Below are 25,895 nucleotides of genomic sequence, written 5' to 3'. Positions count from 1 at the left end.
CTCACACATTCCCTCTCCCTTTGAACAGCATAATGTAATCATAACAGGAAAAATTCTAATTTGTTTCACCAACAAAAAAATCTAAATTCTTCCTAGTGTATTCTGTTAACATTTATATGCACTTACCTTAAGTTTGTGCTATCTGTTAACTTTAGCATCTTGTCTTCTGTTGTCTTGCCAGACTGTGAACAAGATGCCACCCCCAAATGATGTAGTCAATGGTAAGTAAGCCTTCTTGCCTCTACTTTATAAAATCTTCTCTTTTTTCCTTTGTTTGAATACTATTATTGACATCTCTTGTTTCATCATGCTGGTCATTACATCTTTGACCCACATGCCGTTAAAAGTGCAGCCAAGAGTTGGCTCAAAGCCGTTCTCAGATGTTTGAGAGAACTCAGAAATGATCTCAATCAGATCGCGTGGCATCACAGAGGCTTTTCCTCCACTTATTGGCTAATGAACCTGAGTAGGGATTTTAGCTTCATCCTAGGAATTCTTTCTTTTGAACAAATTCATGATGTTTGTTGATTACTGTTGCTGAAGTAAATTAAAGTACCTGACTTTTTTGTTTTTAATTTCAACTTTAGTTTTAGATACAAGGGGTATATGTGCAGGTTTGCCACATGGGTATATCGCATCAAGGTAGTGAGCATAGTACCCAATAGGTAGTTTTTCAACCCATGTCATCCCTGCCTCCCGCCTCTAGCAGTCTGTAGTGTCTCTTGTTCCTGTTAATGTCCATGTGTGCTCAATGTTTAGCTCTCACTTATAAGTGAGAACATGCAGTATTTGGTTTTCTGTTCCTTTTTTAATTCACTTAGGATATGGCCTGCAGCTCCATCTATGTTGCTGCAAAGGACATGATTTCATTCTTTTCTTATGGTTGTGTAGTACTCTATAATATATACTAATATGTGCCACATTTTCTTTATCCAATTCCCCATTGATGGGTACCTAGTCTTTGCTATTGTGAATAGTGTGACAAGAAACTTAGGAGCAGGCATCTTTTTGGTGTAACGATCTATTTTCCTTTGGGTATATACCCAGTAATGAGATTGCTGCGTTAAGTTATTTGAGAAATCTCCAAATTGCTTTCCACAGTGGCTGAACTAATTTACATTCCCACTAACAATGTATGAGTGTTCTCTTTTTTCCACATCCTCACCAGCATCTGTTGTTTTTTACTTTTTAATAATAACCATTCTGACTGGTATGAGATGGTATCTCATTGTGGTTGATTTGCATTTCTCTGTTGATTAGTGATAATAAGCATTAGACCCTTACCTTTCACCATTTACAAAAATTAACTCAAGATGAATTAAAGATTTAAACATAAGACTCAAACTATAAAAATCCTAAAAGAAAACCTAGAAAACACCCTCCTCAACACTGGGCTTGGCAAAGAATCTTTGGCTAAGTCCTCAAAAGCAACTGCAACAAAAACAAAAATTGATAAGTGGGGCCAACTAAAGATGTTCTGTACAGCAAAAGAAATTATCAACACAATAAACAGCCTACAGAAAAGCCGAAAATATTTACAAACTATGCATCTGACAAATGTCTAATACCCAGAATCTATAAGGAACTTAAATCAACAAGCAAAAAATAAATAACCTTGGCTGGGCGTGTTGGCTCACACCTGTAATCCCAGCACTTTGGGAGGCCGAGGCGGACGGGTCAAGAGGTCAGGAGACTGAGACCATCCTGGCCAACATAGTGAAACCCCGTCTCTACTAAAAATATAAAAATTAGCTGGGCCTGGTGGCACATGCCTGTAATCCCAGCTACTCGGGAGGCTGAGGCAGGAGAATAGATTGAACTAGGGAGTCAGAGGTTGCAGTGGGCCGAGATTGCACCACTGCACTCCAACCTGGTGACAGAGTGAGACTCCATCTCAAAATAATAATAATAATAATAATAATAATAATAATAATAATAATAATAATAATACACCTGCAATCCCAGCACTTTGGGAGGCTGAGGCAGGCAGATCATGAGGTCAGGAGATCAAGACCATCCTGGCTAACACGTGAAACCCTGTCTCTACTAAAAATACAAAAAATTAGCTGGGTGTGGTGGCGGGCACCTGTAGTCCCAGCTACTCGGGAGGCTGAGGTAGGAGAATGGCGTGAACCTGGGAGGCAGAGCTTGCAGTGAGCCGAGATCACACCACTGCACTCCAGCCTGGGCAACAGAGTGAGACTGTGTCTCCAAAAAAATAATAATAATAATAAAAAATTTAAAAATGGGCAAAGGACATGAACCAACACTTCTCAAAAGAAGACATTCAAACAGCTTACACACATGAGAAAACATTGTGTTTTTTACATGTATTGACAAATCATAATTTTTGATTGGTCTTTACCCAATGATGACATTAAAATGTATGGAATTCTTAGTGTATTGCCTCTGGTATACCAAAATACGTAACTGACTTCCCCACTTAGATGTCTCACTGGTATCTGAAACTTAACATGTCCCAACACAACTTCTGTTGCTTCCAACCGCCGTCTTCTCCATTTCATTAAATGGAACCACCATTCACCTACTTGACCAAAGCTTACACTTAGGAATCATTCTATGCTCCTTTTTTTCCCCCATACTTTAAATGCAATCTGTCACCAAGTCAAGTCAGTTTTATTCTTAAAATATATTTTAAATTTAACCTCTTGCTACCACCTTCATTGCTACTTGCCAAGTAAAAACAACCTGGATTGCTTCAGAATCCTTCCAGTTAATGTCTCTGCTTTTAATCTTGTTCCCTCCATTTATTCTCAATACAGAAGCAAAGGAATTCAGCTTTTAAACATGTAAATCAGATCATATTCTGATTGCTCAAAATCTCCCAATGCTCCAATACCTTCCTGTTGCAGTCAGAAAAATATATCAGCTTCATTCCATGCTGCACATCTAGGGCCCATCACCCTCTCCCAAATATCTGGGCAAACTAATTAGGAAGCTCAGCTGCTCTCTCCTTTGATGCAGGTAAAACATTCAAATCAAGATCTTTGCCCCAGCCCCAAGCGTAACCACAATTTAAAACTCCAAGCCAGTCTCCTTTTCTTGTTCTGTGAAGCCAATTGTGGGCCAGCTTGGGAAGTCTACCCTGCTCTCTCAAAAAAACCTTATTATATAAGTAATAAATCTATTCATATTCTCTTGGTGTGTGTGTGTGTGTGTGTGTGTGTGTGTGTTCACCATCGGTCTTGACATCCAAAGCAAATTTGGGTGTGGATTCATCCTGCTTTTGTAAAATGACTATCTAACAATGAAGGAATGAATAAATGATTCTTTCTGTGTGCTTTGTCTTCTAAAACTATTCCAAAATAAACTGTTCTCTAATCCATTATTTTTTAACATGTTCTTTGTATGTTTGTTCTCTTGTATGCCCTATGAAGGTTCTGTTAGTATCTGTACATCTATCTATGTATCTATGTATCTATGTATCTATCTATCTATCTATCTATCTATCTATCTATCTTCTCTTTTTCCTCATCAACTTGGAGTTATCATACTTGCCTCATTTACTTTTGGTGCTGTGTATAACTTTCACTCCAATTTCTTCATAATTAAAATTAATGGGAGGACCCCCATAATTTCTGCTTAAATGTTTAGAGTTTGGGGCTTATTACTTCTGCAAGTTTTTTTTTACATCATTTATCACCAAGTATTACCACTCCTGGATATTTTGAATGGAGAGAGAATCTTCTTTCCTATTTATCAACCTGCTTGCTATTAAGAACAATTTATCTGTTCTAATGGGAATTTGATCTCCTTGTATTTATCTCTGTCAAATTTTCCAGCTTTTGAAATAAATTTCAACTACTATCATATTATGGTCAGAAAACACAATGTTTCTTGCTTTACTACAGTATCTGTTTACATAAACTGTATCACTTTCCTTGGGGATTACTTCACATTTTTTATAATACTGACCAACATATGAGCATAGATATTCAAATCCGGATTCTGTAATCCCATTCATGTACAAATGATACCTAAATGTGTAGTTCCTCTGAACATTTGTTTATTTCTAAACCTAAAGCCCAGAAGTAGGTAGATTTACTCCATGTTTCATGCTCTAAGTTGTACACAGAGCAAGTACTATGCTCTCTAGGCAATCTTCTCTCTCTTGCATTTCTGGTCCAAGCCTAGTGTTCATTCTCTTCTTATAATAGCTGTGGCTTTTCTCCTGATATTTTATGTCTTTCTAAAACGAACATATGAAAAAACTACTCCTTTCTTTGGTTTGGTGATTAGTGCTTTTCCGTCATTTCAGGACCCACTTGCTATCACAGGCCTTCCCTTTTCCTGTGGTTAATAATCTATAAGAGTATTTCTAACAATCTAGAATATTATGACTAGATGAAATAGTCTGTTGGGAGCATCGTTCTCATTAGGTCAGGTGCAGTCAACGCATGTAACTTGCTTACATTATGTGGTTAACTCACTTACATTCTCTGAGTAATACTTGAGAGCTCTTCACAAGAAAGAATGCCTGGTGGCCATTCTAGTACACTGAAATGATCTCAAGAGATGACATATATCATTAACAAGAACCCTAAACATAATCTCTTATCAAAACTTTTTTTCTTCAATTTTTTTGTAGTTAGAGACTGATCAGAGATGGGCCTGCTGGGCTGATCAGGCAAAGCTTTATCCTGAGGCTGGATCATGACCGAAGTCCTCTGCTTCATCAGTCTAGAAACACACTCTGATTGATGCTCTCTGAAGTGAGGAAGCTAAGACTTCTACTCACAAGAGACTGAAAGAAAAATGTTTTTCTATTAATAAATAAAATGAGATAAAATTCACCAAAGGAGCAGAATATTTGATTTACACATTCTGTTCTTCTGAGAACAGCCATATGAGAAACTATAGGGTCATTATGTGAACTTAACATGACCGCAAGGGGTATTGTTAAGGCCAGTATAATAGACCTTTAATACTGTGATAAACACCTCCACTGTTGGGTCAAACATGCCAAGTGAGTTTCAGGCCTTCCCTTGGATGGTTTTCTTGTATTCTGGTGGAATGCAGACCACTTTCTCTCTGTTAACATATTCTTTCATGAGACAATAGCTTAAAAATAATAGCTACCTTCTATTAAGTTTCTACAATGTTATTATTGTCTTAATATAATAACAGTTAACACTTTTAAATACCTACTATGTTGCAGGCATAAGGAACTCACTTATCTCTTTTCACAACAACCTTATGAAGTAGGTACTTATTACAATCTGCATTTTTAAAGATACACTGAGAAATGAGTACTCTTCACAGAAGAATGTATAAAATGTGAATAATGATAAAATGAACACCTAAGTATTCACTATCCCTCTTAAGAAATAAAACACACATCACCTTCCTCTCCTGTCCCATCTTACTGAACCATTATTTTGAATGTGTTAATAACTTCTTTCTTCCCTAAGGTTTTCTTTTTTTTTAACTTTATCCTGAACAGCAATACAGGATTTCATGTTTTCTATGAATTGCTGATATCTTCTCCCATTTTATGGCTTTTTTCTGTTCACTGTATCCTTTGTAATTAATTTTAATGCAGTCAAATTTATCAGTTTTTCTCTTTGTGATTTATAGCCTATGTTTCTCATTGAAAAAAATCCTACTCATTCTTGAGTTTTTAATGATGATATTCCATATTGCTTTCAAAAGGCTTTATAGTTTTGACTTTCACCCCCTGGAAATGATTTTTATGAACGATGTGACATATAGGAAATCATTTACATTTTACAGATGAAAAAAAAATGACACAAGGTGATTAATTGCCTCGCTCAGGGTTCACAGATGGTAAATCATAGAGCTTGAAATTGAACCCAGGCAGTCTCGCTCTGGTCACCTGCCTCCTCAGGTGTAACTACAGCAACTATACAGATGCAGTAATGGATATTCAGGGAAGTGAAGTGACTTGTCTAAGGTAACACAGTCAGTAAGAGCTACCTACAGAGAATATGCAAAATTCAACATGCTTTATACCAGAGTTCATATATTTTCCTTACTATGGCCTGCCTTCCTAGGATCACATCCTGGTCTTATGATTCTGTTTCTACAAATTCTCCTTTCTCCTTGCTTTGGGGAACCATTTTATTCTTTAGTTACTTTTGCAGAGAGCTCGTTTTAGCCATATTCTTTCTACGTAACTGGTTTAACCCACAAAGTAAAAATTTCTCTCTTAATTCTGAATTCATCTGATGTCGTGTTTCTCTGAATTTATCACAGTCTTATTTCTTAGTCTGAATTTATATGTAATTTTTACCTCTTAGAGTCCCATCTGCTGACCTTCCAATATTGTGCATTCAAATGCTATTTATAGCAGATCATCTTACTCTCAGCTTCTTGTTACCTCTTTTTCAATGATTGCAATTAACACTTCAAGGATTTCTTTGATCTTGCTCCTTTCCTTCTCCTTGGGCTCATCTTTTACTGCTTCTTTCATTTAATTCACACTCAGCTAGTTCTATACAAGTCAAAGATAATAGCTGATTCTTCCCTGCCATGCCTTGCTAGGACAGAGATAAAGGTAAACTTTTTGATAAAAGTTAGCCACTGTTTCTTACTCTTAAACATGAATTATAAATGCTCAGTTTTGTGGTTAGTTTGGCTTTCAATGAAGCAAACTTAAGTCATTTCTGGAGTTTTTGAAGGTCTGTGATTCAGCCTAAATTAGCTCTAAGTACAATTGTCATGCATACAAATTACTCTTTTGGTTTTGCTAATACATCTCTCCCTGCTCAAAATGCCATTTGTCCTATGGTCACCTACTGAAATTGTGCTCATCATTTAAAGTCTAAGTCAGATATCACCTCCCTGTGGGTACTTTTCTGATCAGCCAAAGCAGAATCCAATGCATAACCAAAGCATTTTACATCACTCTTAGCTTAATATATTCAGTTTTGGAATACTTTAGTATTATACATATGGAGTCTCCCAATATATTGCAAGTTCCTTGAGGAGAACAGCCTAGAACTTATTTTAGGTAACTATAACTACAATAATCTTTCTTGTTGGGATTATAGTTTTCTAATGAGAATTTTATAGGCCTATTGTAATATCTTTGAAGGTATGTATTAAGCTTAAATGAATGACATGATTAGGTGAGCTTAATAATACTTTCTTCCTTCATGAAATTATTTAGGATTTACTCTACACTTGGAATTGTATCTTGCAGTAAAGATAATAGCATGAATATAATGCAGGTTCTGTCTCATAGACTGCTGAGGTAGATAGATGAGAAAACAAAAGAGAGGCCATGGGGTGTCATGGAAATGCCCATGCTTGAGTGCCAGCACAGCTGCTTGGTTACCAGCTTTGGCATGTGCTAGTGGTAGAGGCTTGGATATGCCTTCTAATCTAATGGTGCCTAAAAGTTTTCATTTGCAAAATGAAGGGAATAAATTTTCACCCTTTGGGAATGCTTTTAGGTATAGAGATAATGCACAATTATCAATAGATGAAAACCATTATTATTATTATTATTATTATTATTATTATTATAGCATAATATAACATATTAGCTAATGTGAAAGCAGCCAAGATTGTTTTAAGCCAATTCAGGCTGGAGGATTAATTTAGATGACTAAGTTAATAGAGTGGTATGTCCACCAAAACCAGACTTGTCCTTGGGACACTGTCTGCTTGTAGAAAGAACTACTGTCAAGAGCCCTTCAAATTTCATATGCAAGAGAATAGGGAAGTAGATAAAAGTTATTTAATGATTGTTATCTGTCACATTCTTATTAGTAGCCCTATAAAGGCCATTATAAGTTTTTAATATGTTCTCCACTGGCATAATAGCTATGTGAATAAATGGGCATTATAATCCCCTTATTACAGACGTCGAAACTGAGATTCAGAGAAGTTCAGTGTCTTACATCCACACAACATCTCTGATATTGTAGTCTAAAAAGGCTAATTATACTTCAAGAAAAGCATGTGTGTGTGTGTTTAGCCATTTTACCAGGGAGCATGTTATTAAATAATGACTTTGAACATCTTCCCTTATTAACTCCATTTCAGGTGTGTTTTGGGAACAGTGTCATCTTTTTGTTGCACCAAATGACACATAATGTACTATCCAGGATAACAACTGAAACCTAAAGTGTTCTTTAAAAAATTCCAATCTGATTTTTTAGAATGTAGTGGGCCTATGACTACTGGCAAATGGAGGTAATCTTTGCCCTTCTAGATAAGCAGGTAGCTGATATACCTCTTACGTAGTGGAATAGAAGACTATTATTTCCAGATGAAATAGTCTGTCTGTTGGGAGCATCACTCTCATTATGTAATCTAGGCTGAGTTGATGCAAAGGATATAATTAAGCATGGCTACAAATTTTGTCTGTGTCTCCTGTGGTAAAGCAAAGGCTAGTCCTATTGCTTTCTTTTCTTTGAATTACTGAAACATTTTTGGCTGTACTTTATATTTCATATATACTGTGTTGAAGTCAAGCTTTCAATATTATAGTCTTTTAATTGAAGAAATAGCCAAAATTTTTATGAAATAATATTACTGTGTATTTAACACTGAATTATGTTCTTCTCCTTTACTAAAAATTTGTGAAAATGAAGGTTCTTACCTGTATTGGTAATATTATAGTATAAATATATTATATTTATGTTATATATATTTGTGTACTATATGCCTTAAATATGTATATGTACTTAATTACATATGTATAAATATATATATATGTAGCCTCTTAGTCTTTTCAACAAAATAATCAACAAGATAATAAATAATGAGTAGAATTCAAAGTATTTTTGAACACAGTTATAAATATGTTCAAGTCTTCAAATTTGAGGAACACTCTGCTAGTATTTTTAATACTAAACATGAAAATGACATATAAAAAGGAATATATTTGTCCATGGAAAAAAATAGATGACTATTCTGAGGTGATACCTATCATAACTGGAGTGGCCTCACTATATGGCATATGGACTATATGGCATATGCCAAGGCTTAAGCCTTGGCAACAAGGACAATGAGTTGAGGAAAGACATTAGAATTAAAGGAGACAGGGCCTGGCTCTGTGACACTGAGTCTAGTCAACATGCAAGCCCTGGCACGGTTTGGGCAGATGTCAGCACCTTTGCTTGGGGAACATGGAGACAAGAATGTCAAATCTGGCCTGTGTGGCAATGTGAAGGGCTGTTAACTAATATAATCTAGTTGTTGGTCTCAGGACAATGTCATGTATCTTACAGCCTTTGGTAGAAAATCAAGGAGACATCAAAGAGAGGAAAATAATCACCTGGTAAGAGCTGCACAGGTTTCACAGCCGTGTTGGTTTCAGGAAAGATCATTGTCTTATCAGGCAAATGGAACAGGCCTGCCTTGTCCTCTGGAAGTAAGTGTCAACATGCTGTAGGAGTCAGGGAGCAGAGAAAACTGTGACTTGGAATCTACTTGATCTTAACCAAATGGGTATCTATTGGCACACCAGACACTGGGCCTATTTATTACACAATCCAAAGCCCATCACATGATAAACATAGAGTTTCTTACATAGTCTCTGACTTTGCCACAGTTGGCTCAGAGAAAGGGGCAGGTGAAGAGGGGTTCGGAAAGGCAGAGTCAGCTAGAAATTAAGTTCACCTAAAACTGCAGCCTGTTACTGATCTACCAGATAATATCAGAGAACAGAAACGAGAAATGGGATAATGAATAGCCATTGCTCCACTTGCAGCTGATACAATAATTAGAGATTTCCCAATCTGAAAAACAAAATCTCCCTGCCTGAATGTCCAACTCAGGCTTCTTAGGGATCAATAAATACTTGAAAGAAAGATTACCAAATGAAGGTAGGGAACAAGCTACCTTAGATTAAAGAACAAAGACAAAAGCAACCTTCATTTTTGTAATTTTTTCCCATAACTAAATATTCCCAAATGCTTTACAAAGCTTTTAATTGCATGCTAGCAGCAGAGGAAATGCTGGTACTGCTATGTGCCAGCTTTAGCCTACACAGCGCAGGGAACGTCAAATGAACTCACTAGCTATAAGGGATTTGCAGAAAGCTCACTCGATCTCTTCTCTTGGAAAGCACACCTTCTCATTTCCAAGCACCCACACATTTAATGGGGAATAAAGTGGCCTATCTATACTGCTTCCATCAAGTAGTCATGAAGACAGGAAAGTAGTCAAGATGGGGTGATAAAAGTGGGTGACACTTGCATCCTAAGATTCCAGTTAGAACCTTGTGATGCAAATATAGGCAGGGCTAGAAAACAGCTAGAGTCATTTGCATCCACAGAAAAAGACCTGAGCACCAAGTAGGGTATGAGAGTAGAGGGCAGGGGAGCTTTAGAGAACTTCAGCTGGAAAGAGACAGAATTGGCAAGACCTAGGGTATATAAAATGGTCCAGAAACATTTTAGGTTTCTGTTTTTAAAGGTTGGCCTACATTTCAGCACACCCACTCTCTTTAGATCTGTAGGTAACAAAGAGCTCCCACAAGCCCTTTCTCATCTGGCCCTTAGTGCAGGGACAGCATGACTAACCAGACCCTGAAATAATTCAACTGTGAACTCAGATGAGTCAAGGCCTGGAACCCTGAAACCCTAAGGCTCATTGGGAGAATTGCTTATATTTTAGTATAATAGGATTTTGAATAACTGTGTGGACACAGCAAGAGATGAGACTCTATATTATGCAAGAACCTTGGGAGGAAGGGCCTGGTATCACTTTGAAATGAATTCAGACTTTATTTCATATAAAACGGACATCCACTGAAAGATTTTAGGCAGTAACAAGATAATTATTAATTCACTTTTTCAGTAAACATGAACTGAGTGCCTGCTTCATGCCAAGCATTAGGGATGAATAACACACAGTGCTCTATCCCAAGGAGCATACAGTTCGGAGGGTGAGCCTCTTGTGTAAATTAAAAACTGCAGCTAAGTATTTACTGGTAGTGCTATAGTAACATCATATTTTATACTTATTTAAGGATAATAAAGAAGGATGAGAGGTTGGTCAATTTAACCTAAGTGTTGGAGGTAACGGATTTGGAAATAAAAGCTAAAAGTGGCTGATGAGATAACTTTTGAAAGATCAGTAAGAGCTCATTAGGTGAAGAACCAGAGAAAGGGCATTCTGAGTACAGGCAGACACATGATCAGGGCATGGAGATTTCAATCAATCTGACTTGTTTGGCAAAGTGTCTGAGCGTATCTGGAATGCAGGGGTGAGTGGGTGGGGTTTACAGCAGCTAGAGATACAAATCATCACCTTTTAGCCCACACTAAGGGGTCCTGACTCTGGCAGCAGTGTGGAAAGCAGGTGAAGTTTGGGGTCAATAAACAAGTTAAGAGATCATTACAATTGCACATTCAAAAAGATCATGACACAAAACAAAACAACACAATGGAGATAAGAGTAGTTGTCAGGTGTCAAGCAGTTAAGGCTGCAGACATGATGTGGAGATGAGGAAGGAGAAATTTTCCAAGTTGACACTGTGGCTCCTGGCCTGGGTCATTCTGGCTGAGGAAGGTGTCTATTCCTTTAATCTTTGCCTCCAGGAACAGGTAATAGTATTTCTGCACTCGACCACAGACTATTCCATCATTACTAGTGAAAAATAGAAAAAACACTTTGAAGTATTTGTTGTTTTATAAAGTACTTTTCCAGATGCATCTCATTTATCTTCATCACATCCAATAATTTAACATAGGTTATGGCAATCAGCAACCATTTGTTGAATGAATGAATAAATGAATGAATGAAAAAAGTGTACAATGATGTTGGATAGAGATTGAATATTGTGCCTGAATTTAAATCTTAAGCATTCTGAATCTTTCTGAATCTTGAGTGTTGATAATCCTAAGTATAGTCCCTCTATTTTGGATTGAATTCTGATTCAAAGCCTAGTGTTTATTGCAGTGAACCATAATGGTAGATTTCTAGACAGAAGGAAAAATAAAGATATCAAACCATAGCAATAGGTGTAAGACTGAACCCCTTACTACTTTCCACTCTTGGCCTCTAGTTATAAAATGGTAATAATATCTCTCTTAAGAGACTATTTTATGTTTAAATTAAATGAGATGATGAAATCTCCCAACACATGGGAGGTCTTGGACACAAGTTAAAGGAATCTGCTTTGATCATATGTTGCCCTACTTTATAGCAATTCTTTTCCTTTTTCATTCTTGCCAGCTTGTGAGATGCTGGCTACAGAATATGGTCATCAAATTATTTCTAAAGATGATACAGAAAGGCTCTCAAGAAGACTCTACATCTTTGTACTTCCCTTAGCAATTTCCACACATTAACAAGTCACATAAACAAGTTTCAGACTCAATTTTGTAACACAGACAATCATTCACTAGCAGGCAGCTACACTTATGGCCATGTAGGATGAATGTATGGCCATGTAAGCTGGAGGAAATTCCTGTTCTCCGTCATTTAGGTGCTCTGACAGCACTTGAATGAAAGATTCACTCCAGAGAGTTATGAAAGATTCACTCCAGAGAGTTATGAAAGATTCACTCCAGAGAGTTATGAAAGATTCACTCCAGAGAGTTATGAAAAATTTTAGTGCTAGGACTTGAACTTTGTTGCTGTTGATTTGTGGGAAAAAGGGAAGTCATTCCAAATATGATCCAATAATGGGCTAGCTATCAATTCTAATCATTGGTCACTATTTGGCATGGTACAATGATTGATCTCAACAGATGTTTTACAAGTGTATGTAATTAAGCTTAACACACTATTATAAGCAACATGGCATATCTTCAATGAAATCACAGACAATACAAAAGTGAAAGACTAGTGAGATGGGTAGAAAAGGCCCTTTAGGACCAGGACATGTGGGTTCCAATAAAAGCCCTGCCAAAAATGAGCACAATAACAGGATAAGTCTCTTGACTCTTCTGAGCTTCAGTAAATTTTATAGTACATCACAGGGAATTGTAAGGTTTAATATAATGATCTAGGTAAGATTGCTTTGTAAACTCTAGAATGCCATGTAAGTAATAAATTCAAGGCACTATCTTTGTTGTTACAGTGATCATCATCATCATTGTCCTTACTTCAAATAGTCTCAAATTGAGTTTCAAGTTCAGGGTATTGATTGAAAGAAGAGCACAAGGTAGCCATCAGTGGAGATTCTCTTAAGAAGCAAAGTTCAATAAAAATATAAGAAACATATGCAATTTTTAGTTTTCTAGCAGCCACATTTAGAAATGTAAACAAAATGCAAAAAAGAGTTGATGAAATTAATTTTATTAATATATTTTTAACCTAATATATTCAAACTAATATCATTTTAATATGCAAAAGAGAGTTGATGAAATTAATTTTAATAATATATTTTAACCTAATATATTCAAACTAATATCATTTTAACATGTAATCATTACAAAATTGATTTTACATTATAAAATGTTTAATTACTATAATTTTTACATTCTTTTTTCATGTTTTTTTTAGAATTATAGCATAACTAGGATGCTAAATTTTCATCAGAAATAATTGATCTGCATTTAGTTTTTATAATATGTAGAGAAAAAGTTGATGCATGTATCTGTGATGTTTCAAATACATTTAAAAGTTCTCCATAACTGAATGTAGGGCCAGTTTTAAAATTTAATTTAATTAAAGTTAAAAATTTGGTTTCTCAGTTGCACTAGCAGCATCTCAAGGGCTCTGTAGGTACATGTGGTAGTGGCTAACAGATTGGGTAGCACAAGCTCTAGAGTACAATATTTGTGGGATTAGGGGTGGTAGAGATAGACTAGTTCAGCAGGTACTAGGAACCAGCAGGGACATGAGGACATAGGACCACAAAAAAAAAAAAATGTGTAAGAAGAAGAGTAATCATACAAATAATTTTTCACATTTCACTTTAAGAAGTATTTATTTGATATTTAAAATATGCCAGGTACTGGGGATTCAGTGATAATTATCCTTACCCTTGAGCAACTTAGTGGTCAAGAGTAGAGTTAGATTAATAAAAGTTTATAGCAAGTTACAGTTTAACTATAGTTATGTGGGTGCTATTTCATCTTTTCACCACACTGTAAACTCAGTAGGAATTATCAGAGTGTTTTAGCTGAGGGTAACTGAGCTCAGAAATGCTATTTTACAATGTTGAGATGAAACGCTGGGTTCAAGGATACTACTCTGCACTCAATAGGATCATGCCAGAGAGGGGAGAATGTTTCCAGACTGTGCACTTGGTAGGTGGTCATGTCTTTTTCAAAGTGATTGACATTCCTGTCCTTTGGTATATATATCTACATTATTGGATTCTGGCCACAGGGAAGAGTGAAAACACTCTAGAGTTTAGGCCATCTTACCCTTTAGTAATTAGTCTTAAGATCCATCAGTAAAACATAGCTACTCCTTTTTAATTCAGAAACAGGCCCTGGAGTTGAAGACAAATGTCTTTTTCTCTTTCTCTCTGTTATAACTACTAGAAACATCTTTTTTCAAGGCAAGAGGGAAAGCCTAACCTATTTTAGAAGAGAAATCAATTTCAAGACTTAGAATCTTCTTGAGCAAGGTAAAAATCCTTAAGGCTCTGGCAGAGAATTCTCTCATGAAGATCCACATCCTCTAAGGAGTGTCCCACATAATGAGCCTTCTCAATTCCATTAATTGCAGCAACTTATTTTCCTCAAAAACTTGAAGCCAACCTGCTCTATGCTCCCCCTATCAAGTACATCTATTTGATATCTCTAGGCACATCTGTTCCACTGCTCCAGTTGTCTTAAGTGTCTGATAGAGGGGCAGGTGTGAGTGTCAGGATCCTCTTTCTTTGGCAGGGAAAGTTTCTTCCTGTAGGAGCCACAGGCATCTCCTTCTGATTGCCTGGCTTCGTTCTGCTTCAGTGGCTTTGATTCTGAACCCCTACACATAAAGCCAAATTATTATTTCCCTTGACCTGCTGAAGTACCAAAGAGTAAAAAAATTGCAGACCATTTTTCTAGTTTGCTATCTTTCTTGAATTGATTGTGCTCATCCATGTTGCTGTGCTGAAAGTTGCACTTAAAATATCATATAATGCAATGTTTTCTACCCATTGAGAAAGTATCAAGAATGTCACTTCTGGAAAATAACTGTCTTTGGGGAAAAAAATTAGATATATAACTTAAAAATGAAGTTAAATGAAAAGGGGTTGTTTAATTTAGATTAAACTCAATAATGTGCTTTAAAAAGGAAATGTGTTTTTTATTCCGAATTTCATCACCATGGATTGTATCACATTTTTTTTTTTTGTGCTGTGTGAGCAAAAAGAATAGACTCAGCAAGGGAAGGAGAATAGAAAAAGAAGGAATAAAGGGAAAGGAAATGCCAGACGCAGTGGCTCATGCCTGTAATCCCAGCACTTTGGGAGGCCGAGGCAGGCAGATCACTTGAGGTCAGGAGTTTGAGACCAGCCTGGCCAACATGGCGAAACCCTGTCTCTACTAAAACTACAAAATCTCGCCGGGCGTGGTAGTATGTGCCTGTAATCACAGCTACTCAGGAGGCTGAGACAGTAGAATTGCTTGAACCAGGGGGATGGAGGTTGCAGTGAGCCAAGATCATGCCACTGCACAGAGCCAGACTCTGTCCCAAAAAAAAAGGAAAAGGAAAGACAGCATTTGTTCCTCTATGTCTTAATCATATCTTTATCATAGAAAGGTCTTCATTACTTAGTCATGTTTTATTCTGGTACCGCATACTACCTTTTGCTATCAGTCCTGCATCTTTTTCTTAAACTTTCCTAACATAAAAGTGGGCTGTTAACACCCCTCACATAAAGACTTCACCCTAAATTCTTTTGCTGAGTCAGGCTGGATGGACAGTACACCTAAGTTTCTCCAAAGCCTCTTTTTGAATCTGATGCTTAGCACAATGTTTATGGTTTCAACCTAAGGTTCACTCTGGGTTTATGACTAAAATAGTCTTCTGACTACAATGCCTCAGATTTTCTTCATATATTTTCTCTTCTTTGAATAGCTCTGCACCTGCTTACCTCCAGGGCCTGTTCTGTGCAACCTGCTTTGGGAGACTTCTATGAGTCAGGAGAGACTCCCTATCTATGTCTCCAGCAAAAAGACAGAGAATGCTCTGAGATACTAGTATTTCCAATGCTTGATGAATAAGTGAAGGATAGATGGATGGATAAATGGGTGGATATATGGATGAATGGATGGATGGATGGATAAATAGATGGATGAGTCAATGATAGGATCCATGTGACACAGGAAAGGATGAAGCAAAAGACAAGGTGAGACTATATATGCAATAAGCTGTTACCCAGAATTCTGTTAACTGACACTTAATCAGCTCTGCAGCACAATGATAACTGATAAGACTAAAAGTGTCCCTGAGCCTCCAAAAAAGTTAAAGTGCCTTCTGAATTCTCAAAGGAAAAATAAAGTGCGTTCCTTGTAATTCAGTACTCAGAATATTAGGTTGAACTCAAATGCTCTGAATTGGCAACACATGCAAATATTGGCGTACATAACATCAATGTGATTTTTTAAATAATAAAAATTAAAAATGAAAGGAAATTCAAAAATTTTTTAGCCCAACAGCCTTATTATATGAATTGGCTATATTCCTTTGTCTGTTTACTCTCTAGTCACTCATAAACTTGCTTCTAGCAGGTTTGTTCCCTCTACTCCCTCAGGCTGCATTTGTCAGGGTCATCAATAAGCTGCACATTACCAGATTCTGGGGTAATCACAGTCCTCATCTTATTCAGCCTACTAGCAGCATTTGAAACAACTGATAATGTTTTCTTTGAACCTACTTTTTCACTTGGTTTCCAAGACAATATTTTCTCTTGGTTTTGCTCGTAATTGATGTTTCTCTTTCTCAGTGTCTTCTGACGGCTTCTCCTGGCCTCTAAACATGTGCTCCTGCCCTGCATCTTCTGTGCCTCTACTCATTCCCTTGGTGATGCCTTCCACTCCTATGGTTGCAAATCCGCTCATATTTAGATGATTCCTGGATTTTCATCTCAAACTTATTTATCTTACTACTGACTCAAGATCTCCACTTACAGATATAGATGTAGCATCTCTATCTGTAATCCACGTGTAACTGTATCTGTATCAATATCTATATTTTATCTATACATTTTAACATCTAACTCTGATCCTTTGCTTCTTGTCTACCCATGCTAAGTCCACTCTTCTTACAGTTTTCCTGCTCTCAGTAAATGAAATTTTTGAGTCACCCCTGATTGTTCTATTTCTCACACATCTCAAATCCAATTCTTAAGCAAAAATTTCATGCTATGAAATAGACCTTCAAAATAAATCTAGAACTGTTTTTCCCTGCTTTCCCTGCTACCACCCTAGTCCATATCACTAGCAGTGCCTAACTGGCCTCTTTGCATTTACAGTTGCCCACCACCCCCGGCAAGAGTATCCACTCTATAGAAGAGTCAGAGTTTTAAAAAGTGGTCAGATCATGCCACAAATCTACTCAAAATCCCCCAATTAGATTCCCCTCCCAGTAAAAAGCAAATACCTCACCATGAGCTTCGTGCCTTGCATGACATGGTCTCTGCCAACTCTCTGACCTTGTCTTTTACCACCTGACCCTTGTTCACTATGCTACAATCCCAGGCAGCCTTGCTGTTTTGGTGGCTATATTAAGCATGGGTTTCCCTCAGGCTCTTTGACCTCACTGTTCCCTCTGCCTGGAATGCTCTATCCCTAAAAAAGTGCATGTGCTCATTCCTTTATTTCCTTTAGGTCTCTGCTCAAATATCACCTTAGCAGAAATGCCTCTACTGACCATCTTAATTAAAATTTTACCCACATGCTTCTTTAACCTCTTTATCCTGTTACATTTTTTGTAACTCTTACAACTTGGGCATATTTATTTACATGTATCTATTGATTTGTGTGTCTGTCTTTTGTCTCTCCAAATACAATTTGAATTCCAGGAGAAAGAGACTCTACCTGTTTTGTTCATCACTGCCCTTAGCACCTAGAACAGTACCAGCACCTAGTAGGAACTCAATAAATAAATAGTTTAAAATATGTGATTAAAATGGAGACTCAGACAGTGGCCTGGAGTAGCCTGAAGAGTCAGTCAAAGAGATGGAATTCTGCCTGTCACTTTGGTGGTATCCTGCTTGACCGCTAATAGACCAATTTCTAAGCAGGTGGGATTATAGAAGGAGTATTGTGCATGTTCATATACAGAGCATAGAATATCAACAGTTCATTCAATTATTATTTGCTGATCATTCACTTTGTGCGAGGCACTGAGGCACAGAATGAATAATGTGAACACTTGTTCTCAGACTATAAAAAATTATCAGGAAATTGTGCTGTTGGAGCCTAGGCAAAGAATTCTTTTCCTAGGTCCATGGTGTTTGTGTAATTACAGATGATAATGCTTGAGTAAGTCCTGTAGAATTGAGTGGCCAGGCAGAAGTAAGGGCATCCTAAACAGTAAGACAACATGTGCCAAACTCTAGAGTCACAAGAGAGGCCGGCATGTTTAGGAAGTTGCAAGAAATATGGATGACAAAAAGAATGAAAGGAGAGGAGGGAGGCCGAAGAGATAACCAGGGGCTATAGGGTGGAAGGTTTGAGAGCTGATTCTACAGCATGTGGATTCTAGTCCTGAAGACTGTTGGGAGACTCTGAGTGAGAGGTTTTAAACAAGAGAAGAGAAAGAGAATTTCCATTTGAGAAAGATAGTTCTATTTGCCATTACTGAGAAACGCTGCTTGGAAAGACACAAGGAAGCTAGTTAAGAGGCAATTGTTATAATACAGGCTAAAAGGTAATGGGGGTCTGATATAAGGTGATGATAGTGAAGTGTATTCTGTTATGCAAATCCTGTTGGAATTATAACATCATAGTAAACATAAACATGTTGCCTCTGTGTCCCTTGGAGGAAATAAGACGAGCAAATATGTACCGTCCTTCAAAGTCAGTATCCAGGCTTTCTCTCATTCAGAAAACAGAGGCATATATAGATGAAAAAAGATTAAAATCTCAATAATCAGCCCTGACAACAGGGGTTCGTATCAGTGACAAAAGTTAGAAAAGATAAGAAGAGGAGCTTGTAATGGTATAGCTAAGATAAGCATCTAGGTTTTTTGAAAAGGTGGAGATGAACAGAGACAATTCAGACACAAGCTGGCAAGATTAGGGAGGGCTGGGGTGTGGGAAAAGAGGTGAGACCTTTCCAGGGAAACTGGAAGCATGACACTGAAAATGATACCCTTCTTGGAGCTGGAAGCAGGCCAAGACCCAGTGAGAATGTTCTCACTCTTTACTCCCCCTGGCTTCTGAAGCCTGCTATCCTTTTATAAAGAAGGATGATTGTGAACAAAGACTTACAAGGGAGAGGGAGAGAGAAGAATAGGCAAAATAATTTTCTGACTACAGAGGCTGAGTTTCCACAACATAAGACCCGTTGGCAAGTGGCTATTTTTTTCATAATAAAGACCAGATTTTTGAGGCATTAGTTCTAAAGCCTAATGATACATGGGAGAGCACAGAGAGAAATTTGGAGAACGTCATTGAAATTAGAAGATAAATAATTTGAAGGTTCAATGTTCTGAATCACTCATCCTCCCTATTTCTTTTTTCCCATTTGTAAAGTACAAAAGATGGTGGTGATAAGCCCTGTCTTGTCAGTCATCAGTGTGGGAAAATTGAAAAAGAGATCAGCCCCACATGTTAGGTCACAACTGCAATCGCAGTGCTTTGGGAAGCCAAGGCTGGAGGATAGCTTGAGGCCAGAAGTTTGAGACCAGCCTGGACAACACAGATACTATCTCTACAACATTTTTGTTTTTTAATTAGCCAGGTGTGGTGGCCTGCACTTGTAGTCCCAGCTATTTGGGAGGCTGAGTTGGGAGGATCTCTTGAGCCTAGGAGATTGAAATTATAGTGAGCTATGATCATGCCACTGTCCTCCAGCCTGAGTGACAGAGATAGACCCTATCTCAAAAAAAAAAAAAAAAAAAAAAACAGAGAGAGAGAGAAGTTAAAAGCGTATATTGTTAAATAATATTATTTATTTTAAAATAAATTTTAATAACAAAATAAATAATATTGTTTTTATATAACAATAAATTTTAATAAAATTTAATAAATAAAATTTAATAAATAAAATAAAATTTATATAAAATAGATTTTAATAACAATAAATAATATTGTTATTAAATTTTAAAAATAAAATCTAATAACAAAATAATATTGTTAAATAAATTTATTTACAATTTATTTAAATATTATTAAATGTTATTAAATTACTAAATAATCTCTTCTTGAGATTTTCCTAAATGATAAAGTATTCAGTGTGTTGAAATGAAAAGGCCAACCTTAAAAGATATGTTTGCATTTTTCTTTTGTTGTTCATTTTCCCCCATGAAATGCTAAAGCCATTCTTAATTGTAAATGTTTAAACATACATACATGCAATGAGAATCTGGCTTCCAGGATACGTTATTGTTCTATCTTTTCTTGTCCTTCTTTTCTCAGCTACTTTTAGGCCATTTGTTCAAAGTGTTATTGCTCGGTAGGTGCCATCTACATGGTATTTTGTAGCTTCCATGATGACAGACACACAAGATGAACAATGAATAATTGTAAAGAAAATGTGCATGAGCCTTAAATGTTATTATTCTCACAGTCTCCAACTATAGGATCTTCAATATCGACTGTGACAAATGCATAGCAGTAATTGTTTAGCCAGGACTTAGATGCTCAAAAACAGACTGATGTCACACCCCAGCGTCTAGGAGCCTGACTCCTAGTTTAGTGCTTTTAAATTCAGGAGTTTTTCTACCTTTGCATGCACCAAACGCTTTCTGCTCCTGCTTCCTTGACAAATGTGCTATTTCAAAAAGATGTAAAATCCTGGGAAATGTAATTGGCTGGATGTGGGCCCCTAATGTCAGGGGCAAACACCAAAGCTAGGTTGTCAGAGAGAATCACTCATCCTCTAGTCAGGCCGTTGGCTTTCCAGGTCCAGCTTATACTAGGCAGAACACTGGAATACTGATAAGAGAAAAGGAGAAGACTGTATTCTAGCCAGTGGGAAGAACAGTGCAGAGTCTTGACAGGAGTAAAAGTAGGCTTGTTCAGCCGGGTGCAGTGGCTCACGCCTGTAATCCCAGCACTTTGGGAGGCTGAGGCGGGCGGATCACGAGGTCAGGAGATCGAGACCATCCTGGCTAACATGGTGAAACCCTGTCTCTACTAAAAATACAAAAAATTAGCCAGGTGTGGTGGTGGGTGCCTGTAGTCCCAGCTACTCGGGAGGCTGAGGCAGGAGAATGGCGTGAACCTGGGAGGTGGAGCTTGCAGTGAGCCGAGATAATTAAATGAAAGTAATGTAATATGTTTGGAGCTTAGACTTGGAGAAAAGGCGTGAGGAGCTAGTGGAGAGAGATGGGACAAAAATGTAAAATAGGCGTGAGACTGTGAAAGGCTTCCAGCCAATTTTAAGGGTAGTAGAGGATTGTCTTAATTATTCGTCGAGGGTGAGCAATGCTTTGACCTTAATGCACAGAGTGGCTTTGGCCTTGCAACACATTTGTTCAGTTCTAAAACAGCAACTTTCTCTAGGATTTGTTGCTGGTGTTCTCCTATAACTTAATGGTTAGGGACAGTTGCGAAAAAGAAGTACTATAGATTAAAGGTTAACAATCTACTCTCTGCAGTCATATTGCCTGAATCCATATGTCTGTTAGATGTGCAACTGTGAGCAGATATTTGATTTCTTAAGACTCAGCGTCTTCATCTGTAAAACCAAAGAAAATAATAGTGCTTATTTTGTATAGTCATTGTGGGGATTAAAAGAGTGTTTAGCCCAGGGCCTGGAATGTATGTGGAAAAGCAAACACATTTCCTTTTATCATTATGGTTGTTATATTTATAAGGGACTTTCATAGTTTCTCCTGTACGTAATGCAAACTTATTAAACATCTACAATGGGCAAGCACTACAAAAAGAAGAGAGTTCCCAGCTATAGAGATTGAAGAACATCTATGCAGTACAAGTCTTTGGTTTGGCCAGAGCTCAGTGCCCTGTGGACAAAGTACTCCATCCACAGATCTCAGCAGGCATCTGAAATTCTCATTTTCCTTCCACAATCAGTTGACAGGACCTGCCTGAGAAGAAAAATTAAGCTGTGGTTCATGGCGACACGACAGTCTAAGGTGGAGGCTGTGTTTAAGTGGGGTCAGATGGTCTTTAGCTCAGTTCCCATCGAGATCATCTTTAGATTATGGCACTGTGCTTCTCCTACACAGTGATCTAAGATTAATCACAAACCTTCATTGTGCCTGTTGAAAGTGTGTGTTCATAGTCAAAAATTTTCCCGGTAGCCAAAATATTAATAATTTTTTGATGGACCCAAATATGCCATGTAGCAATATTTTTTAAAATCAGGTTTAACATATCAGAGGCACATTTGAGAGATTTTCTATTTTTCTACTTAGCTGTCAAGTTGATATAGTTAACATTTACTTTATGCCAGCTTCTATATTAAATGCTTTCCATGCATTACCTCATTTTATCTTCACAGCAACTTTTTTGTTCTTCCCATTTTATTGATGTTACAACTGAGGTTTCACAGCCTGTAAGAGGTAGACTTTAGATTACAACAAAGATCTGGTCTATACAAAACTTAAAATTAGTAACTGCTGCACTAGAATACTTACTGTGAAAATAATGAATTGTTTCCTTTTAGGATTATAATTCAGATTCTTAAGATCCCCTTTGGCATTCTTCTCTTTGGGGTCAAACCCATGTGAAAAATATATTATACTTTATATGCACATATAAATCTGCATTCGCTGTCTTTTATGAATGGAAACAGCACTACTGAAGACAATCCAGAATACAGGTAGGGTTTTAAAGACCCATATGTGATAAGCAATCTGTGCACATAGAATTGCTCATTTATACTAATTACTAGTAGTGTCTAGTGTTTATAGGTAACCAATTCACATACCAATTCATTCCATGTGCTCCTTAAAAACCTTATTCACTTTATGGGTCTCAATGATTTCTTACAAATTCACATATAGTTCTTAGGATGTACAATAATATTGACAACAGCAACAATAATAATAGAGTACTACTAACATTGCCACTAATACCATTTATCGAAGTAAGATATGCTCAGGCAGTACCTAAGCACTTCATATGTGTTGTAATGTAGTAAAAATTATCCCCATTTTACAGGTAAGAAAACTAAGATTCAAAGAGGTTAAGCAATATATACTAGGCCATATAAAGTAAAAGATGAAGTCAGATTTCAAATACAAAGAAAACTCAATCCAAAACCTCTGCATATTATTTGTACTATACTCAATCAGAAATTCTTGTTGTTGTTGTTCAATGCCACTTCTCATTGCTACTTAATCATATCTACTTCACTCTTCAACATTCTGGAAATAATTGGAAGTATTACTCTCTCCAGCCTCCCCTCCTCTGTTAGCCTCCCCTCCTCTACTGAGGGTTGGCACTGCCTAGGGGGTTTTTGTGGCTAGAGATACAGAAGACTTTGGGTGAGGGGTATAAATGGGGGTATGCTTTCTGAAATCACGTTGTAAACCACAGCAGGTCCCAAATTGAACACTAACGTTCATTAACCAAACAGCCAGGCTCAAGATGTGAGTGTTAAAAAAGCTGAGAGGGCCAGAAAAAAGTTTGATAACTATTATATTGTATATATGTATTGTATATAGCTCTGTAATTTATGAACTTGCAGACAATATGGATGTGTGTGTGTGTTTCAATTCATAATCTAGGACTAGTTGTTAACTTATGAATTCATAGGTGTCTTCAGAGGCAGTTATGAGTCAGCCATATTTATCATCAATTAATACAAAAGGCTTTGCTAATTAACTTAAATATTAAAATAGGTTCCCAATGGTGATGAATTAGTAGTATTCAAGATCCACGCATTGCTCAAGATATTTGAAGGCATCCCTCTCCCTAGCATGAAGAAAATGTCCAGTGAGGTATCTGCCAATCACTCCCCAGGATGGTACTGAGGGCTGGATTCTGAAATGGATCTGCATCCAGCTATGACATCTGAGTATTCTCTTTGCCTAATGATGCCTGTAAGCCTAGCTGTATCCTGTTTCTATATTGTTGCATGTTCTGTAGTAAACCTCTTTGGTATGTTATATTCATAGCACCTAAAGGACAGAGAATTGGTACATCTCTGAATGTATGAAATAGGCTACTGAGCTGTTATTGTGGAACTGCATTTAAAATAAATATCATTTCTTTTTTTCTCTCTTGGTTTTTTTTTAATACTTTAAGTTCTGGAATACATGTGCAGAACATGCATGTTTGTTACATAGGTATACATGTGCCATGGTGGTTTGCTGCACCCATCAACCTGTCATCTACATTAGGTATTTCTCCTAATGCTATCCCTCCCCTACCCCACCTCCCAACAGGCCCCAGTGTGTGATGTTCCCCTCTCTGTGTCCATGTGTTCTCATTGTTCAACTCCAAGGATCTAGAACCAGAAATATCATTTGACCCAGCAATCCCATTACTAGGTATATACCCAAAGGATTATAAATCATTCCACTATAAAGACACACACACTCATATATTTGTTGCAGCACTATTCACAATAGCAAAGACTTGGAACCAACCCAAATGCCCACCAATGATAAACTGGATAAAGAAACTGTGGCACATATACACCATGGAATACTATGCAGCCACAAAAAAGGATGAGTTCGTGTCCTTGCAGGGACTTGGATAAAGTTGGAAACCATCACTGTCAGCGAACTAACACAGGAAGAGAAAACAAAGTACCGCATGTTCTCACTCTAAAATATATATCATTTTTAAGAAATATCTCTAAGTATGGCTGAATTTGCTGACACTTGCTTTTATGATAATCTGATATCCAAGTACTGATGTTGAAAGAAAGTAGCTAACTCTCATTTCCATCTAATTTTAGGTGCTACCAAAATCTACTGCAAATAACCTAATAATTGTACACAGACATCTTGACATAGGCCAGTTCTCAACAACAGTAAAATTTTGAGCCTGGAGTATGAGAGCTGTAGAAAGGACAGCAGAAAAGAAGCATTGAAAATAAATAAAAACTGGTCAGGGGAAATTTGACAGAACAGGTATTGAAGTCTGTTTCTTGCATTTATAAATTGAGTTCACTTTGGCATAAGATACCAGCAGACATCTAAGATGCAAGAGCTGGAGTGGAAGTTGATACCTTCCTTATACTCAAGATCTCTTTATTAATGATTTTGTCTTCCCAAAATAATTATAAGAAAAATGAACAATCAGGGGCCATTCTACCTATTGTAAGCCAAATACTTGGATATGTCAAAGAATCCAACTGTTTATCTCCATCTTGTCCTACCGTGCAAGTGACCAATACTTAGCTTTACTATCTCCCCAGCTCAGCCTCACTTCATATCAAGAAGTGAGTTTTGAGCGCCTAGTTGTGCTGCATATGTAACAGGTTTTCCTGATGAAAGTCCTCAATAAAATTGATGTGACTGTACAAATGGTTCAGGCCAAATGATCATCTAAAACAAGTTCCACGTGGAAGTTGGTGCTATATTCAACCTTCCTATTGCTTTTCCAGTTTCCTAAATAATAGGCAACATTTTGGGTTCATGCAGCTATTTCTCTTTCCATTATTGCCACCAAAGTTTACAAAATTTCTAGGGAAAATCAAAGTCTATGTGTTAACTCTCACTAATTAATGTAGGGTAATACATGATCACAGCTTTCTTAAAGAGTGACATAAATTCATCATCGCAGAGCAGCATAGTCTATCTTTTCCAGGACTTTTTCTTTCTTTCTTTCTTTCATAAAGCAAAACTAAAGCTAGTGAACAACCAAACAGAAAACAAAAATGAACACACACACACAAACACACACAGCAAACCA

The 25,895-nt window shown here is 37.1% G+C and overlaps 2 long non-coding RNA genes across 3 annotated transcripts in view; one reads left to right on the top strand and one right to left on the bottom strand.

Annotated features, from left to right (window-relative positions):
* Nucleotides 1-25,105, top strand: part of LINC02791 (long intergenic non-protein coding RNA 2791) — a 33,693-nt gene extending 8,588 nt beyond the window's left edge. For both annotated transcript variants that reach the window (NR_183659.1, NR_183660.1), the window contains 2 exons: nucleotides 182-221; nucleotides 24,937-25,105. This is a non-coding gene — a long non-coding RNA (long intergenic non-protein coding RNA 2791). The remainder of the gene's footprint in view (nucleotides 1-181; nucleotides 222-24,936) is intronic.
* Nucleotides 11,251-25,895, bottom strand: part of LOC105378787 (uncharacterized) — a 32,634-nt gene continuing 17,989 nt past the window's right edge. Inside the window, exons 6-7 of the long non-coding RNA XR_947486.2 lie at nucleotides 22,510-22,579; nucleotides 11,251-11,589 (exon numbers count right to left, since the gene is read on the bottom strand). This is a non-coding gene — a long non-coding RNA (uncharacterized LOC105378787). The remainder of the gene's footprint in view (nucleotides 11,590-22,509; nucleotides 22,580-25,895) is intronic.

This window comes from Homo sapiens, chromosome 1 (assembly GCF_000001405.40).
Source record: "Homo sapiens chromosome 1, GRCh38.p14 Primary Assembly".
Classification (NCBI taxonomy): domain Eukaryota; kingdom Metazoa; phylum Chordata; class Mammalia; order Primates; family Hominidae; genus Homo; species Homo sapiens.
The sequence above is the reverse complement of the archived record's forward strand: the minus strand, read 5'-3'. Positions and strand labels throughout refer to the sequence as shown.